General features: G+C 42.8%; 1 protein-coding gene across 21 annotated transcripts, besides 1 other annotated feature; it reads right to left on the minus strand.

Moving 5' to 3' along the window:
* Nucleotides 1–959: 959 nt before the first annotated feature.
* Nucleotides 960–19232, minus strand: ZNF239 (zinc finger protein 239). Of its 21 annotated transcripts, none has more exons than NM_001324353.2 (5): nucleotides 19156–19232; nucleotides 18253–18293; nucleotides 14790–14898; nucleotides 12515–12637; nucleotides 960–2787 (listed from the first exon to the last, which is right to left on the minus strand). In NM_001324353.2, the coding sequence occupies exons 2-5, from the start codon at nucleotides 18265–18267 to the stop codon at nucleotides 1319–1321; spliced, it is 1716 nt and encodes a 571-aa protein (NP_001311282.1). In that variant the 5' UTR covers nucleotides 18268–18293; nucleotides 19156–19232; the 3' UTR covers nucleotides 960–1318. The 21 variants fall into 21 exon arrangements, with proteins under 21 accessions (NP_001311282.1, XP_047281763.1, NP_001092752.1 ...); XM_047425807.1 differs by having other exon boundaries at nucleotides 14790–16709; nucleotides 19087–19232; NM_001099282.2 differs by lacking the exon at nucleotides 14790–14898.
* Nucleotides 18955–19014: a silencer, noted in NCBI's record as "silent region_2334". NCBI's record gives its function as "represses an Ori minimal core promoter by ATAC-STARR-seq in GM12878 lymphoblastoid cells {active_cell/tissue: GM12878}" and the evidence as "EXISTENCE:reporter gene assay evidence [ECO:0000049][PMID:35858748]".
* Nucleotides 19233–19643: the final 411 nt, after the last annotated feature.

A 19643-nucleotide genomic window follows, 5' to 3' on the forward strand; every position in this document is an offset into this window, starting at 1 on the left:
ATGTAATGAGGAGGTATGTTCCATATACAAATGGCCATTAGTTTCATTGCTTTCTCTTCACATCTCACTCCCATCTTCCAAGGTACTAAGCATTTCTGAGCCTGGTGCCAAATTGGTTCCTTCTTTTCCTTATCCCCATATGCAAGCAGCATAACTGTGCCTGCTTCTGCTCTACTGGCTATCTTTCCATCTTTCAAATTTTCATTTGCTGATAGTCTTTCTCCTATTCTCCTTATTGCTGTAGTTTGATAAATTAAATTTTCCTCGCATCTTAATGTTGTCCAATGTGATGAGACATGTTTAACAAAAGTGCATTCTCGAATACTTTCTGTGCTAGCCATTTTTAGCTTATCAAGCCCCAACATGATTTCTGCAGCCTCTAAGCTGCCCCCTGCTCCTTATGTATTCATTTTTCCAGCTCTGCCTCTGGAACCTATTTGTTATTATCACCTGCTCTCAGGTACCCCTCCTGAGTAGCTGGGTCTGCAGGTCTGTGCCAGCACACCAGCTAATTTTTGCACTTTTTTATAGAGACAAGATTTTGCCATGTTGCCCAGGCTGGTCACGAACTCCTAGGCTCAAGTGATGCACCCTCTTCAGCCTCCCAAAGTGCCAGGCATGTTACTTTGGACCCTTCCTCACATTCACTCTGGAAGTATCCCAATAAACTAGCTGTACTCACCAAAAAGGACTACTTATGTTCCTGAATAGTTGCCTGGGAGGGGCTGTTCAACTTCCTATCAAAATGGTATATGGGAATGTACTACATGAGTAACTCTCTTCCAGCTTTTTGTTGTGTGGCTACAAACTATTATATCTTTTTGCAATAAACACAATAATTTCCATGTCCATTGTATTTCCAACTGCCCTCTTGGCCTAAAATGGACGCAGTGTACAATCATAGTTTAGAGGGGGCTAATCAGGACTGGAAAGAAGTATGAAAAACACAAGGCACAAAATTTGAAGAGAAACCAGAGTTTCAATTTCTCAGAGAATGTGAACAAAGGGAAACATGCCCTGCTTGAGAATAAATATAAAGTTCTTGCCGTTAAAATGCTGGGTAGAACATGTAGTTGAATTGTAAAGTACAGACACTTTTACTCTACCCATCTGAGAAACAAGAACAATCCATTCATTGTACAGCATAACAAAGTGCTTGATACTTAAATATTTTGAATGAGTGATTTTTCAGTGAGGGAACATATCTAAATAACCCTTACATCTCTCTCCTTTGTAGAATATAAAGTAAGAGTGATACTAAATATTTAACAGTTTTTACAGTATGAGCGCTGTGAAGACCTGAATGGGCTAATGTCAGTTAGCGAGGATCTTTCTTGTGAACCCGCTGGTGGATGTGAAGGTTGGAGCTCTGGCTGAAGCCCTTCCCACACTTGCTGCACTCATAGGGCTTCTCTCCAGTATGTACTCTCTGGTGGATGAGGAGTTTGGAACTCTGGCTAAATCCCTTCCCACACTTGCCACAGTGATAGGGCTTCTCTCCAGTGTGGACTCTGAGATGGATGCGAAGATCCGAGCTCTGGCTGAAACCCTTCCCACACTCATAGCATTGGTAAGGCTTCTCTCCTGTGTGGATGCACCGGTGAATGTGAAGGTTCGAGCTCTGACTGAAGCCCTTCCCACACTCACCACACTTGTAGGGCCTCTCTCCTGTGTGTACTCGCTGGTGGATGTGCAGGTTTGAGCGCTGACTGAAGCTCATACCACACTCCTCACACTCATAGGGCTTCTCTCCAGTGTGGACTCGCTGGTGGATGTGCAGTTTGGAGCTCTGACTAAAGCCCTTCCCACACTTGTCACATTTATAAGGTTTTTCGCCTGTATGGACGGCATGATGGATGAGCAGACTTGAGCTCCTGGTGAAGCCCTTCCCACACTTGTCACACTTATAAGGCTTCTCATCTGTGTGGACTGCCTGATGGATAAGCAGACTCGAGCTCCTTGTGAAGCCCTTCCCACATTGCTCACATTTGTAGGGTTTTTCTTCTGTGTGGTCTCTCTGATGAAGTAGTAGCTCTGAGCTTTGACTGAAGTTCTTACCACACTGACTACATTCGTATTGTTTCTCTGCAGTGTGGATTTTCTCATATGGATGACCATCTGGGCTGGTGTTAAGTATTTTCCCACAGTTATTATGGTCACAGGGTTTCTCCTCTGTATGAGCTCTCTGCTGACTACAACTGACCACCTGTGATTTCCATCCATGAATGTCTTTGCAGTTACAGTCAATGGGATCCAAAGATTCTTTTAACTGGCCATTCTGGCAAGTTGCCTCACCATTTAACAATGGCGAGGCCAGTTCTTGTCCATCAGACACCAGTTTAACTTGAAGGTTCTCTGAACAACTTTCCCCCTTTATCACTTTTCTCTCAGTGCTTTCTTCCATTACAAAGAGACGTCTGCTTTCCTGATGATCCTGAGGCTCATTCTTACAGAACTTCACTGAAGAGTCTTGTGTGTCTATTTGGCTTGAGACTTTCAAAGGCAAATATGTTTCACTTTCAATGTTTTCGAAACAACCACTTTGAAGAGTCATCACACTGTCCCTGTTTCTGGAAATAGGAGAAGATGCTTCTCCCCACTGTTGACAAGGGGAAATATCTAGTTCAGGCTCCCCATCCACTTCCCCTCGATGATTCACAATACAATCCTGACTTCCAGTAATTGTACTGGCCATGCCTTCCAAAACTAGCCAGGAGGAAAGCTCATGTAACAGATCCTGAAGTGTTTTCTGCTGAAGATTCTCCACAGAATTTTCATTCAAGTCTCCTAGGGAACAAAGACAATTCAGTGGTAAGAACAAAGGGTAGACTTCAAGATTTCAGAGTGAGAGTGCCTAAGGCCTGAAGTCTTAGTAACTAGGAAAAAGTTCAGCTTGTCTTTATAGTCATGTCCTTTGGGTTAAGGTCAGGTACATTTGTATCTGGGTACAAGACAGAAATTTTCTCTTGGCTTTTAAGCATAGCCAAGGAAAGTCTTCCCTAACTAATCCTATAGAAGGCTGTAAGTCCTATATCCTTGCTAACAATAACATTTCATCTCATCTCACTTCATTTTTTTTTTTGAGACAGAGTTTCACTCTGCTGCCCAGGCTGGAGTGCCGTGGTGTGATCTGGTCTCACTGTAGCCTCCACCTCCCAGGTTCAAGCAATTTTCCCACCTCAGCCTCCCAAGTAGCTGGGATTATAGGCACATGCCATCATGCCCAGCTAATTTTTGTATTTTTAGTAGAGGTGTGGTTTTTCCATGTTGACCAGGCTGGCCTCCAACTCCTGGCCTCAAGTGATCCATCCGCGTCAGCCTCCCAAAGTGCTGGGATTACAGGCATGAGTCACCACACCCGGCCTACTTTCCTTTAAGTAAATTTGCATTTAATTGGTATTCTGCTTTCATAGGTGTGGGGAATACAAGGAAGAAAATATAAATCCTTTTGCTTAACAAGCTAAAGCTTCCTGGGAAGACAAATACACCAAATAATGATAATACTAAGTGAGTGGTGTAGATGAATGTATAGTACAATACAGTACAAGAGATGTATGCCTAACCAGCCACGAAAGCACAGCAGAGGAACACTCAACTCAGACCCTGGTGTTTAGGAAGATTTCTGGGAGAAAATGACAGGAAAAACAAAAAACAAACAAAAAAAAGGAAGTGAAATGTGGAGAGAAAATATGACATGTTAAAGAAAACTACAAGCGGCTTCTTACGAAGGAGATAAAAACAGTAAGAGTGGTGAAGAATGTGCCACGGAGGGGAAGTAAGAGGACAGAGCAAAGGGCTTAGTGTCTAATAATAAGGACCTTGGGGCTAAACCCTGAAGGGATTGAAAACTATTAAAGAATTTTAATTCAGAGTGAAATGACTGACTTTGTGACAATAAACACCACTGGAAAGCAAGACTTTAGGTAGCGAGACGGCTGCCATAGCAAATCAGAAGAAAAACGGTAAGGATGATAGTTGTGGAGAGAATAGGAGAAATTCATTCTAGATCATGTGATGATAAACTAAACCTAGAAGAGAAAGGAGGCACCAAGCCTGTTCCTTGGGATTCCTGCCTGAGTGACGGTATGGTGGTGCTATATAATCAGATAGGAAATGCAACAGGAAGAGGCTGAAGTAGGGAAGGCAGCAGAACTGCCTTGTATAATCTGTGGTGTTGGTGGAACATTCTTGCAGTACTGGTCCGTAAGCTGTGAGATATATATAGGTCTGGAACTCCTGTGAGAGAACTGTGCTAGGAATACAGAGTTTAGACTTACTGGTATATTAAAAAACAAAAACAAAAACAAAACCCTCCCCGAGACTTAAACAATTAGAGTGAATAGCCTAATATTACACTGAAATGACAAGAAATCCATAATACTCTTGGGAAAACAGAAAGGCTGATATCATCAGAATAAAAACATTGAGGAACTCCTAAATGATAAGGAGCAGATGGATTAGGAGTGATGGAGGAACTAGGGGAAAAAAATGTACAGCTCAAATTATGTATAACAGAAGGCTTCTTCGTGGGTAAAACATCCTAAGAAATCATAGAAATTCAATTACCAAACTCAGAATCAATAATTACAAAGTAAGGGAGCACTGACCCCATTTCTCTGGAGTCTATGTCTCAGAAAATAATAAACAATGATAAAGTAAGACATTTCCTAATTCAACTTAGGCATTCCTAACAGCTGTGCTAGTTTTTGCTGTTAGCAGCACTCTCCCAGCCCACCCTCTTCCTCTTAGAAATAGAAATATTGGATGGCTAGCAGCAGTGCCCTCATATAAAGCCTCAAGAATAAAATAAATGATCTGCCAAAGAAAGACTGCTAATAATATTAACTGGACTGAAGAGAGAAGCAGAGGTTGAGGTAATGTTGAACGTACACAATGACCAATGGATTAAGGTACAAAAAAGAAGTAATTGACAACATAAGTGCCCAGGATAAAACTTCAAGCTAAACTTTTTAATGGGAGTTCTGACAAGGAAGATAGCCCAGCGCTGGAAATAAAGAAGCAGGGCATGCCCCAGATAACTCAGTGGCAAAAGAGGTGGACTTAAAAAATGGCCTACACCACTGTGCAGGGGAGTACAGGGAATAGGAGGCCCACCTGAGGCTCAGCCCTAGCCCTTAGCCCATCCGTGGGGCCAGTTTACTGCCTGGGTAGTCCCCTTGCCCATGTATCCAGCTACAAAACAATTCAAATTTTTTCTTTTTCCCAAAATAAAACCTCAGCTAGCTCTGCCAACTGTCAAAAAAAAAAAAAAAAAAAAAAAAAAGGCCTATAATATCCACCATCTGGATTCTTATTACCTCCCTCCCTAGCCCAATCAGCAGAAGTGTCCCCTAAAGTAAAACACATATGCATGCCAAAGTGGGTCAAGCATGGGTTGAGGACACACTCCAATATCATGCTGAGAACACAAGAATTTTGAAAAAATATATAAGGAGACCAACAGAATTTAAAAGGTACATAATTAAAATCCCAGAAAAACTGGAGAGGATATCACATTTAAACACAATCTAATAATAAAATATAAACATATTGCTATGAAAAATAATAATTCTAAATAAAATGACTGAAGATGATGATAGGTTATGTCACTTGTTTCCTAGATATGTGTCAGGCTGTTTTAGTCAAACGCCTGCAATCTAGATGAGTTAAATAGTAAAATGAACACATGGCTAAGATGGAAGATTGAGGAATTCTCCAAGAATGCAAATGAAAAGACAGACAAATAGAAAGATAAAAGTAAAAGCCCATCTTCAAGGAGCTGCATGAGGACAGTGAAGATGGAACACAGGGAGAGAAAATGATCAAAGAAATAATAACAAAAAAATGTTTCCTAGAATTCAAGATTCAGGGCCCAATAAATGCTAAAAAATGGTATGTAAAAAGACCCCAAACTAAACATACTCTTTTAAACCTCAGGACTTCAAGGAAAAAACAAACAAACAAACAAACAAACAAACAAAGAAACAGAAAATGCTAAAAGCTTCCAAACAGAAAAGCCAGGTTATGTGCAAATAAATGAGAATTATATTGACACTGAACAACTAATTGGCAATATTGCAAATCTTCAATATCTTCAAATTTTGGGTTAAAAGTCATTGTGAAATTATAATTTTTACCCAGCCAATTAACCATTTCAGTGGGAGGAAAAAATAGACACTCTTTCAGACACGAAAAGATTCAATTACTAAAACAATCATTCAGGAATATACTATAGCAAAATTTTTTAAAATTTAAGAAAAAGGATACATGCTGCAAGAAATAGCAGTAAGCCAAGAAGTCAATACAATACATAATTAGGCCAGGCATGGTGGTTCATGTCTGTAATCCCAGCATTTTGGGAGGTTGAGGTGAGGTGATTGCTTGAGCTCAGGAGTTCGAGACCAGTGTGTGCAACACGGCAAAACTCTCTCTACAAAATACAAAACAAAAACCCCCAAACCCCAAAACCATAGTTGAAAAATAAAAGAAAAAAATAAACAAAACTCTACAATAACAGCACGGAGTCAAAACCCCCCAAATAAAATATATTTTTAAAAAGCAAGTATTAGCTTCAGAGGAAAAATAAAAAAATTAAAAAGAACTATAATCATACTGTACTACTTGACTCTACAGTGAACAACTAATTACAAAGTCAAAGCAATGTAAGCATTCATCACTGACATGACTCTAACATAAATTCTTGGGAAGCTAGGCATTTGGGGAGGTAATATAAAAAAGCTACATCCTCATCTATAATATAGGGAAGTCAATAGAAATTACAAAATATTGATAAACTGAGAAATAACAGTATATCACAATACACTAAATTTAAAGGATACTGAGGTACCATTTTCCACCTGTTACACTAGCACAAACCCGAAGTCTGAAGACACACATTACTTGTGAATGTAAACTGATACGAAGGACAGACATTTTGACAATTATCAATCAATGTCATAAATATATGCACTCAGCATTCCAACTTAGAGTTTTACTCTTCAGATTTTCAGGCATAATTTGTGAAATGACATTTACATGAGACAGCTCACTTTTTAGAGGCCAATGACCAGAACCGGGATAGACAAGAGCTACAGACATGAAAGAAACTTTTCACTGTGCACGTTTTATATTTATTTTTTAACCATGTGAATGCATTTATTGTTTACATGAGAGAGAAAAATAACAATATGTAAACATATTGTCTGGAGTAGGAAGACAAACCCAATATGGAACAGCTAGAAAGGTGAAAACTGAGTGCCTTTGGAAGCCACACTGTGGCTGATGGAGCAGCAGAGTCAGGAAACAGGAATGTTTTTACTATGAGCTGTCCACACAACTTGTTTTACCCAGGTGAGTGTATCACTTTGTTTATAAATTTCAAAAGTAATGGCAAAAATGAAAAAGAAAAATGACAAAAGAAAAACAGGGCAGTTTGTAGCGTTAAATCATGAAATGGGCTGAAATGATTAAATGGATTTTAAAGGATATTGCTTCAACAGCCATATCGTACAATACTTGGAAATGGCTAGTGGTTATAGAAATTATAGGTATATGAAAATGAATGGGGGAGGAATTTTATGAAAGGTGCATTTTAATGAAAGTGTGATGTTAGCTTTTAAAAAAATGTTTAAAATAATATGAAGAATGAGGCCGGGCACGGTGGCTCATGCCTGTAATCCCAGCACTTTGGGAGGCCGAGGTGGGTGGATTACTTGAGGTCAGGAGTTCGAGATCAGCCTGACCAACACGGTGAAACCCAGTCTCCTCTGAATATACAAAAAATAGCAGGGTGTGGTAGTGGGCACCTGTAGTCCCAGCTACTCAGGAGGCTGAGTCAGGAGAAATCACTTGAACCCGGGAGGTGGAGCTTACAGTGAGCCGAGATTGTGCCACTGCACTCCAGCCTGGGCGACAGAGTGAGCCTTCGTCTAAAAGAAGAAGAAGAAAAAAAAATATGAAGAATGAGTGTATAACATTAGGAGAAAATACTGACATGAGAAAAGGGGTCCTTTTATAGGGATTTAACATGGCAGAAAAAAGCTCTAACACATACTGCATAAAACAGCACATTAAAAATACACAGTGTAATCTCATAAAATTTTAATACATATACTTGTAATGTACATACATAAGTACAGAGTCCATAGAAAGTGATTTGATTTCATATTATACTGTGTTGTTTGAGTTTTTGAGACTTTTATGTCTTACTTGCATAAAAGAAAAATGTTGAACAAGTATGTTCCATTTTATGTTAATAACAATGAAAACCTAGAGCAGAGCTTGAAATTGGAAGCCCATCTCCTATTTCATTTTTGTCTACTTGTAAATCACTCTCTACAGAGCAGTCACAGTGATACTGGGTCAATCAGAGCACACCATTCCTTGATACAATGGCTGCCCACTGAAGATAAATCTACTTTTTTTTTTGAGATGGGGTCACACAGTGTCTCCCAGGCTGGAGTGCACTGGCACTATCTCAGCTCACTGCAACCTCCACCTCCTGGGCTCAAGCGATTCTCCCACCTCAGCCTCCCAAGAAGCTGGGATTACAGGCATGTACCACCATGCCTGGCTAATTTTTTGTCATAAATCTACTTTTTACCAGGGCCTTCAACGCCATAACTGAGCCAGGCCATGTTCACCACCTCTTCTCAGTCCTTCTTAGATGCACCCTGTGGTCTACCACACTCCTCCTTCCAGGTCTTTGGGTCTCTTCTTGCATGGTTCTCTTTGCCTGGAATGTTCTTCCCCTCCCTAGCCACCTGTTTAAACTATTGATCCCTTAGCTCCCAGTTTAATGTCACTTCAGAGGCTCTCCGTAAGACACATACACAACCCGCATTCCATCACGTCTTTGTTCTCTCAGAGCGGTGTTCCATTCTTCACAGGACTTACTGACCGTATAGTAACACTCCAAAGAATGACATCATAAATGATGTTTAAAGGAGACTAGTGTACCTGCAACATCTAACTTGAGCTTGAAAAACGATGGCAACAATCTGACTAATTTTTACCCTATTTTAAGCGTTAAACAGAATGACTTTAGGGCAACATCTGTGGGATCTAGGAGTGTTAATAAACTTAAAAGAAGTTAAAGTTAAAAAAGAATTGGTGGGAGATTTTAGATACTGAGGACGAGAAGAGAGAAATTTTTTTTAAAAAATTTTTTTATTTTGAGACAGGGTCTCACTCTGTTGCCCAGGCTGGAGAATTTTGCTCTCTGAAGCCTCAACCTCTCTGGCTTAGGTGATCCTCCCACCTCAGCCTCCCAAGTAGCTGGGACTACAGGTGTATGCCACCAGGCCCGGCTAATTTTTTATATTTTTTGTAGAAGGGGTTTTGCCATGTTGCCCAGGCTGGTCTCCAACTCCTGGGCTCAAGTGATCCTCCTGCTTCTGCCTCCCAAAGTGCTGGGATTACAGGCATGAGCCACCACGCCTGGCCCAAGAGAAACCGAATATAGTCATGGCCTATTTCTAAACTAGGAGACTGGAACAACTTTAATACTGACAAAAGTGGGACTATAAGAAGGGAACTTAAAAAGGAAAATAATTTTAGGCTTATCAAAATAGAAAGGAGAGTTGAACACCATTAAATGTGTAACAGCTCCTCCTATAAGTGGACATACCATGCATTCTCAGGGGCAATAATGTCCCCAAGGGGTGAGAATTGGTTCATAGGGGACACAACAAATCTTTTTATTTTATTTTATTTTTTGGGACAGAGTCTCACTCTGTCAACCAGGCTGGAGTGCAGTGGCACGATCTCGGCTCACTGCAACCTCCACCTTCCGGGTTTAAGCAATTCTCCTGCCTCAGCCTCCTGAGCAGCTGGGATTAAAGGCACCCGCCACCACGCCCAGCTAATTTTTGTATTTTTAGTAGAGACAGGATTTTGCCATGTTGGCCAGGCTGGTCTCGAACTCCTGACCTCAGGTGATCCGCCCACCTCGGCCTCCCAAAGTGCTGGGATTATAGGTGTGAGCCACCACACCTGGCCAAACAAATCTTACATATTATGCTGGTTTGGGACTCATAAAAACAATCCTACCTGACAAAACCTTATTCCTTCATACTTAATTTTTCTACAGGAGAAATTTAATTTGTCTCCTTTTGGCAGGGAGAGAGTAATGATAAAGAAAAAGGCCGAGAAACACTGATGATGTAACTTAAAACCAAAGAGCCCTTTGAGATTTCAAGTTAGAAAAAAGACAGAAGCCAGGAGATCAAGACCAGCCTGGCTAACATGGTGAAACCCTGTCTCTACTAAAAATACAAAACATTAGCCGGGCATGGTGGCACGCGCCTGTAGTCCCAGCTACTCAGGAGTCTGAGGCAGGAGAATTGCTTGAACCCAGGAGGCGGAGGTGGCAGTGAGCCCAGATCACGCCACTGCACTCCAGCCTGGGTGACAGAACAAGACTCCATCTCAAGAAAAAAAAAAAAAAAAAAAAAAAAAAAAGAAAAAGAAGCCAGAGAATCTGCAGAGCAAAGGACTAAGAGAGAAGCTGGAGGAAACAGAAAAACTATGATTTCATGCATGACAAAGAATTTCAAGAGAAGGTCAACACTATAGAAACCATCAATAAAACTGATAATGGTAAATATGCTGAAATAAAAATTAAAAAAGGAACAAACTCTGAAAGAGACAAAAGTTCAGTAGTGACTTCCAAGTGGGCAATTTTGGTACAAGAACAGAGCACAGGCACTGGGTTTATATAAAGAACGTGGAAAGGCCTGGTTCACTACCTGGAGGTAACCACTTTGCCCTGTAGCATTCTCTTTACTCCCCAGGATTAGCTGAAAATAGAAACTGAAAGGCCACAGTTACTGAGGGAAGAGAACCAGGGTCCCACTGTGGACTGAGGGAGGCAAAAACCCTGAAAGCTAACATGATGACACATTTTTCAGTGTTTTTTTTTTTTGACAGGGTCTCACGGTCACCAGGGCAGGAGTGCAGTAGTGTCATCTCGGCTCACTGCAACTCTGCCTTCCTGGCTCAAGGGGTCCTCCCACCTCAGCCTCCTGAGTAGCTGGGATTACATGTAACTGCCGCCATGTCCTGCTAATTTTTGTATATTTTGTAGAGACAGGGTTTCGCTGTGTTGCCCAGGCTGGTCTCAAACTCATGAGCTCAAGCCATCTGCCCGCCTTAGCCTCCCAAAGTGCTGGGATTATAGGCATGAGCCACTGTGCCCAGCCACTTTTCAGTGTTTTTTGTAGAATGGCTGCTTTTGGCTATAAAATGGCAAGTTCATATGGTTCAACCTAGTAGGTATACATTCATTTCCCCATCTAATTTAAGTTCTTCATGAACATATTTTTTAATGGCTACATACTTTTCTGTGATCCATGATAATTTGCCTGACCAATCCCCTGTGATACATCTAGTGGGTAAATAATTTTTTCACTATTTTAAATAATTCTATAATGAATATCTTTGTTCACAATTTTCAGTTAAAATTACTAATTATTGCCTTAGACTAGATATCTAAAAAATGAATTACTGCATTTGAAAATGTTTAAGGCTCCTTGATTCAGGTAGTCAAAAAGTGTTTTATCTGGCCGGGTGTGGTGGCTCATGCCTGTAATCCCAGCCACTCCAGAGGCCGAGGCAGGAGAATCACTTGAACCTGGGAGGTGGAGGTTGCAGTGAGCCGAGATCGTGCCACTGCACTCCAGACTCCAGCCTGGACGAAAGAGGGAGACTCCGTCTCAAAACAAACAAACAAACAAACAAACAAAACAAAAAGACTCCGTCTCAAAAAAAGAAAACAAAAAAGTGTTTTATCTATTTGTAGGGTATGAGAGTGTCTCACCATGAATTTCGATTATTTTTGGGAGGGGAGAGGGATGAATTCCTGAATGTGTAAGAAAAGAAATAATGGAAACTGGATATTGCCAGGCAGGGGGAGGACATTCAATGAAAAATAAAGTCCAAGCAAAGATGGCACATGACCAATGTTGGGGAAATGTGGGGAAAGGCAGGAGTACAGAGAAGCAAGTGACCATTACTGGGAAAGACCACAACCTCCTGCAGAGGTAGAAGGGCAGTAAGTGAATAGATCAGGTAAAACAGTAGCACATAGGAAACATCCTGGAAGTCCCTGCTTTCGACACAGACTGCAAGATACCAGATAACTCCTGGAACGTTGAAAAAGGGATTCCTCTGCTGTGGATTAGCCTGGCTTATAACTTGCCATGATGCCTGGTGCTCTTTGAGGTTCACTTGCTATTATATAATGATCTTTATCTTGCTCCATCTGAGAGATCACATTTCAGAAACTCACAGGGATTGGGTGATTGTGCAGAAAGCAAAATCAGTCCCACCTCTGGCTTATAAAGGATGGAAAAGGTATGGTTTTTGAGACAACCCAGTAAAACTACCATTCTCCAATTTTTACCAAGTTCTTTAGCTGCTTAGAATAGTCAGAAAACATCCTTTTGTGTCAAAAAGGAAGTAGGAAACAAAGAAGCCAATGGGCAGGTGTCCAAGTTCACATGTCCTTACCCACCAAGACCAAGTTTCTGTAGTTGCCCAGCATCACAGCTCCGCACAGCTTCCTGGGAGCAGAGTCCAGGTGACCTCACTCCTCCTCGGTGAAGGCCACAGAGGCATCCTTGAATGTAACTGGTTCCTAAAACATTAAGCACATTCCTCCTCAACAAACAACCATCTGCACAAATGCCCTGCAAGTGGGGTGAAGTCAGCAGCACTGGAAAAGGTAAGAAAGGTATAGAAGAAGTTTGCAGCTCAGGGATCTGAGTGAGCTAAGCCAAGTTTTGTTGGAAAGTCTTTCCTTTCTCACTTACTTGGCTACTTCCATCCAAATCATTTCCCTCCTGCCCACAACATATCTACGCTCAAGTTCTCAGCTACTGAATCTTTCTGTGTCACTCTCTTCTTGTGTCATTGCTGAGTTGTCATCTTCACCCCATTCCCACCATTATCCTGACAACCTTAACACTCGCAGGAACAATTTACCCAACACTCTGACCTCACATTTCTTAATCTCCACAGTGCCAATGATCTCAGCCACATTTCATCAAACTGTAATAACCATAATCGGGACTAGTCCACTACCTGGACCCCTCTACTCTTAAAATATGAATCTCTCTAATATCCTACAAGTTAAAAATCACTTCCTATGCTTTCTGTTCTTCCTCTTCTAAACTAAGTAGTTGAACATTACTGGGAAAATAAAATAGCACATATACACACAGCCATAAAACACTCTCCTGAGGGATCCCTTGACTTAAAATACCATTCACTGCCAAATATTTATTTCCAGCCCTAACCTCTTACCTCACCTCCAGACTCCACCTTTCTACCTTTTAACATCTACACTGGGACGTCTAAAGTGCTTAAAACTTAACAGGCCCTAGCTGGGCACGATGGCTCACGGCTGTAATCCCAGCATTTGGGGAGGCCGAGGTGGGCGGATCACTTGAGGTCAGGAGTTCGAGACCAGCCTGGCCAACATGGTGAAACCTCGTCTCTACTGAAAATACAAAAATTAGCCAGGCGTGGTGATGTGTGCCTGTAGTCCCAGCTACTCAGGAGGCTGAGGTGGAAGGATCTCTTGAACCCGGGAGGCGGAGGTTGCAGTGAGTTGAACAAACAAACAAAAAACAAAACAAAACACTTAACAGGCCCCAACAGAACTCCTGCTCCAGCAATATCCATCAGCATCTGCTCTTCCCCAGTCATCCCCATTTTAGTAAACAGCCACACGAACCACTCAATTGCTCAAACCAAAATCCCCGATGTCATTTCATTCTCATCCTCACATCTCACCTATCACCCACCTCCTTTACCGCTAAAGCATATCGGCATCCACCCAGCTCCCCTGCCCTGCACTGTCACCTCTCTAGGCCTAGGCAGCACTTGCTCTCACCCACATCAACCTCCTGGTTGGTCTGACTCTACTCCTGCTCCCCCAAACATGAGTTTTCCACATGACAGCCAAGGTGATCTTTTAAAACAAAAACAAGGCCAAGCATGAAACCCTCCAAAGGCTTTTCAGTGGCCATCCAGTAAAATCCAGACTCTTCATCCTGGCCCATGAGGCTCTCCTGTCACCTCCCCAACCTAGGCCTCTCTTATGATCATATTCAGCACCAGTGACCCAGCAGGCCCTTGAACTGCATCAAACTCATTGTAGCTTCTGCACTAGCTGCCCTCTCCATTCCTCATGATTCAGCTCTCAGTCCAACTGTTGCCTCTTCAGAAAGCATGTCACTGACCATCTAATCCACTGGAGCATCCTGTATATATCATTTTCCTGGTTTAATTTAATTAATTTCTTCTTATAACTTATGCCTTACCTTATTTTCTTATTCACTTGCTTTCTTATTTACTGTCTTTCCCTGCTGAGATTTAAATTCCCCAAGAATAGAGAGGCTGCCTCATTTGTTCATGACTGCATCCCCAAGACCTCAAGCAGGGCCTGGCACATAAAGGGAGTCCAAATATTTACTCAGTCAATGTCAGCAAATCTGGTTCCCTTCAGGGCTCTGTCTGATGAAGCAATGCTTCTTAAACTACCTGTGGTGAAGAACCAGTTTTTTTTTGTTTTTGAAACTCTCAATTTCAGTACTTATATCTGCACAGTGCATGGGCTGGCACCACTCTCTAAGGCACAATTTCAAAAGTAAAGTGATAGAATATATAAAAAGTCATAAAGGCTGTCTCATAAATTTGATCAGCTAAGCCAGCTTTGGCCTGAGGCTAAAGAGGCACCACTCCCTCCTTCCTTGGGCCTGCCCTGCAGGAGTGACATGACTTACCCAACTTGTCACCAGTGGGGAAGGATGAGGGTAAAGATGAAGGTAAGGATGGGTGCTGTCTCCCAAGCTTTCTGTTCAAGGTCACTGGTCTCCATTCTGAGGAAGAGGGCTGGAAAAGGAGGCTCAAGCCCCGGAGTAAAGGTGGGACAAACAAACAGAAGCAAAGGTTGCTGCCTTCAAGCTCCATCACCACATCCTTTAGCAAGGCATGACCCATGGCATATTAAAAGCAAGTGGACTGGCTGCTCTTCCCAACCAGACCTTCTCTTCAGACCACAGAGAAAAAAAAATTTCTTTCTGTTTAAGGCTAATCTCTTCCTGTGCATTCTAGATCAAATCCCTTCTTCTATCTTCAGAGATGCAAGCCCACCAATTATCTTTTCTCTCCCTTATTTTTTTATCCGTCTTCCATTCAGTTGTCTGGATTGTCTAATCCTCCTTCTCTACCTCAACAATATTCAAACCATTTCAGATCCTGTCAATTCTGCCTCCTAAATTTCCCTCCAATGTGTTACCTCTTTTCCATTTCCACTGCCAGTCTTAGTAAGACCCTTATTTTTTTTCTTACCTAGGCTACAATAACTCCTTACCAATTCTTTGTAGTACAATTTTTGTCATCTTCCAGTCCCTAGGTTAGACAACCAGAGTTATTAATTTTTTAAGGTCCTCAAGATAAAATGGCAGGCGGGACTCCATTCTGAGAAGGGAAAGGATATGTTGGTGGACTACTAACTTTGTGGTAGGTAAAAAAAATGACAGGAGTAGACCAAATGAAAAGAATCATTGTGACAAGGGAAAGGAGAAAAGGAAAGGAAATTAGTGCTCCTGTTAAAGCAAGACAAAGGTGGGACTGAAACACTGAATAATCAACAGTCTTCCCAGGTATCAGTGGCACTAAGGAGTCACTCCAAGGCTGTGCTCCTGCTTACAGTTGGGAGAGCAGACTTGATATTCTAAAGGCCAACCAAAGAGGAAGGTCACAAGTTCAATTGTTTCCTGTTTCTATCAGACAAATGTCGACCTCCTCAGAACTACATACATGCCATCATGTGGCCTTCCACTTCTTTCTAGAGCCCATCTCTGCTGTATCTAACAATTTACTTTGAAGTGGAAAAGCAGGAAGAGGCACACTAGATTACCTGGAGTCATTCAACACATTACACTTGAGTCTAGCACAGTCCTTTCTATAGTAAGCCCTAACTTATTGAGTTCTCCCATCCATTTTGGAGCTTTCAGTCTCAGGACAATAGCCTCTTTCTGAAGCATGAGGATGAGTTAGAATTCTCCTCCTCTGAGATCTCATAGCATCTTTCACATCCCTCTACTATAGCTATTAAGTCTCTCCCAAGTTGGCTGGAAGATTCTGAAGGATAGGGGCTACACTCAACTCATCTTTGTTGTTTGAAACAGAGTCTCACTCTGTTGCCCAGGCTGGAGTGCAGTGGCATGATCTCAGCTCACTACAACCTCCACCTCCCGGGTTCAAGAGATTCTCCTGCCTCAGCCTCCCGAGTAGCTGGGATTACAACAGGCATCAACATGACCAGCTAATTTTTGTATTTTTAGTAGAGATGAGGTTTCACTATGTTGGCCAGGCTGGTCTCAACTCCTGACCTCAGGTGATCCTCCCCACTCAGTCTCCCAAAGTACTGGGATTACAGGTGTGAGCCACCATGTCTGGCCTCAACTCATCTTTAAATCCCCAGCAACTACCACAATTGACTTGGAATCTGAAAGATAAATATAAATTCACATTCAATTTAAATGAATAATAATACAACTAAAAGAAAACATAAAGATGGTCAAGCCCAAGACCCTCAGTTTACAGAGAAAAAAACCACAGTTCATAAGGGCGAAGTGACTTACCCAATGTCACAGAGGAAAAGCAGGGTTAACTAAGACTCCCGCCTTTCAGCAGACCTAAGGACAATGTGTGGTACATAGAAAACACACAATGCTTGGAATGAAGTCCTTCCTTTAAATTAAAAAAGTTGTTGTGTAACACACACCAGAATCTCAAAATTTACTAAACTGGCAATCCCCAGTTGCAGCGGCAGTGAATACTTAATCATTAGGGAGCAGGCAGAAGCGAAGGAAGGAAAATGTATTGATTCTACTAAGGTTAATCTCCCTTGAAGTCCTCAATTACTTTTCAGGGCACAGAGAAGCCATGCTCTCAGTACCTCAAGTCAGCTTACTGTCCTCTAAACAGATTTTTTCTAAGAGCTCATGTGTGTGAGGGCTGTATTTGCCAAGCAAAAAGATGGCCTTTGCTGGTAGTGTTAAAAAACATTTTTTTTCCCTTAAAACGCAGTCTGATATTTTATTCAAACAACTTCTGATGTGATGACCTGTTTAGTTAATGGAGAAAGAACAGCCTGAAGGAAGAAAACACGGGGTTTATTTCTGGCCTTCTGCTCTCTGAAACAAAGGACAAGGCACTTTCCTTCGGCTCTCTCAGAGTTAGCCGAGTTAGAGCTCTCCACCATAAAACGCCAGGACAGGGCAAAGAGGGGGCCGACCATCTCAAACACCATGGGATTCTAAGTGGGGGCTGACCATCTCAAATACCCTGGGAGTCTAAGGGTTAATTTTGAGGTAACCTCCTACAGATGGTTTTATGGGGACAACTGAAAACTCTCTTTAAAAAAGTACGACTTGGTAATTTAAAATTTACTGGAACAGTTAAATATGTAGACATGCTAGTGAAAGAGAACAAATCAACCTGAGTATAAAGGATGAATAACTCATTTTACCTACCCTAGAGACACTTATAGTGTATAGAGAGATATTTCACAATAAACCTTTGGATGTACAAAGATCAACAGAATAAAAAAGGAGTGAAACTCTCCTTTCACTAGGTCTGGAAGAGAGAAGGAAGCTTAGTTCTTAAAAAACACCACAGAGAGTTCTGATGCATAGCCTAGTTGAAAAGCATTTCTAGAGTGATTTTGTAACCACTGTGCTGCCATTTAACGAATTTCCTCGTTTTTGACTCATAGTTAATAAATTATCACTATTAATATGCATTTTTTTGTGTACAGGTAATATAATATGTTCATCAAGATGGTAAGCTCCTTGAAGAAAAGCACCGTGGTTTATCATTCTATCTGTTTTGCTGAGACCACTTAGCACTGGGATGAGTATGGAATAGCTTGGAATGACTTTCAATGTGAGTGAAATGTCTGGCAGGAAAAGGCAGGCTTTGAGAGGCTCCCCAGGAGGGCACAGCCCACTGCTCTGAGGAGTGGAATAAATTCTTGGAGGCAGGATGGGCCAGTGAAAACTCTCTGTGCAGACCCTGGTGACATCATCTGCTAGCTACATGTCCTTAGTATCTTAATGTCCCTACATCCATAGCTATAAAATACCGTACTGGGGGCCTGACAATAAAGAAAACAACACATGGCACAGGGACATTTCAGGGAGATGGCATTTTAGGAGAAATGGAACGCCAACTCACCCGGACCCTGGTCATTTCTTACTCCCAGAGGGGATGGATTCCTGGAAAGGCAGAGTTAGGGAAAGAGAAAAAGCCATGAAAATCAAGTCCAGCAAGACTGCGGGGAAAAAGTTACTCCGCTCCTGCCTCTGACGCTTCTTCAGTCACTTCCACCCACACTCCCTCCATCAGGTGAGAGGTGAAGCATTTTCTGTCACCACCTTCATCTCTCTCCACAGGGCTTTCGATTAAACAAGCCAAGTTTTCCCCCCAAAACCAAGAGGCTAGGTAAATTCCGCAGCCGCCGGCAGCTCGAAGCCGTGCCCATTTCCTCTGACTTTCCCGATCTCTGTCCTAAAGTTCTAGTTAAGAGGAGAAGCTTCTCGGGATGGATTTCGGTTGCCCAAGACGCCTTCCCCGACCTCATTCTCAGGAGCCTGGCTCGTTCCTGCGGTGCGGGGGCTCAGATGCAAGCTCTTTTCAGCGAAGGCAGTGCTGCGGACAGAAACCTCAGTCTCTTACAGGAGCCCCCGTCCGTCGCCTAACGTCCACCGAAAACCCCCCTGCAATAACGCCCGTCACAGGCGAGGAAAAGGCCGGCGTGGCCAACCACGAAGCCCCCAGCCGGCCCAGGCCAGAGCTCGGCCAGGAGGGAGGAGGGGCCATCGGAGGCGCGGCCGCTCAGCTGCAGGGCCCCACAGGCTTCGGTGTGGCCGCAGCCCGGCCCCGGGGGCGCAGCAGCTCGGAAATGCGGCGCCGGGACACACGTGCCGCCGCGGGCCGCGCCTCCGCTGGTCGCGTGCCCTACCATCGCCGCCCTCCCGGCTTCCGCAGCTCGGCGGCCCAGCGCCTTACCCGCGGCACACCCATTTCCTGACCCCTGAACGCCTCTGCCAGCGGCTGGGGAAGCCCGGCCAGTCTCACCTCCCACGTGGAACCCCACGCCTGCAGGGGCCAGATTCCGGATGCTGACCGCTCGCGCGCCTAGGGCCCCGAAATACAAGTCCCAGCAAGCCGCGGGCGAACCACGCCCACTTCCGGCGCGGGCCCCTGAACTCTGCGCTGTGCGGAGCGGGATTCTTGGGCGGAGGGGACCATCTTTGAGTCAGCGACGCGTGTATTCAAGTCCTCCTCCTCGTTTTTTATTACAAACAAATAAGAATTATTTTAGGAATACCTGTTAAGGTGATTTTCATTTGTTAAAATACTATTGGGGGAAAAGGATGTAAATACCCATAATTTCATCTTTACCTTTCAAAACATTCTGAAGTGAATATTTGCCATTCGGCATCTTCCATCTCACCTCTGAAGTTCATCCATTTAACAGATATTAATTGAGAGCCAACTGTGTACCAGGAGCTGTTCAAGATGCTTGCACAAAAGTCACTGCCCTATTCTAGTTGGGGAAACAA

This window comes from Homo sapiens, chromosome 10 (genome assembly GCF_000001405.40).
Source record: "Homo sapiens chromosome 10, GRCh38.p14 Primary Assembly".
Lineage (NCBI taxonomy): Eukaryota > Metazoa > Chordata > Mammalia > Primates > Hominidae > Homo > Homo sapiens.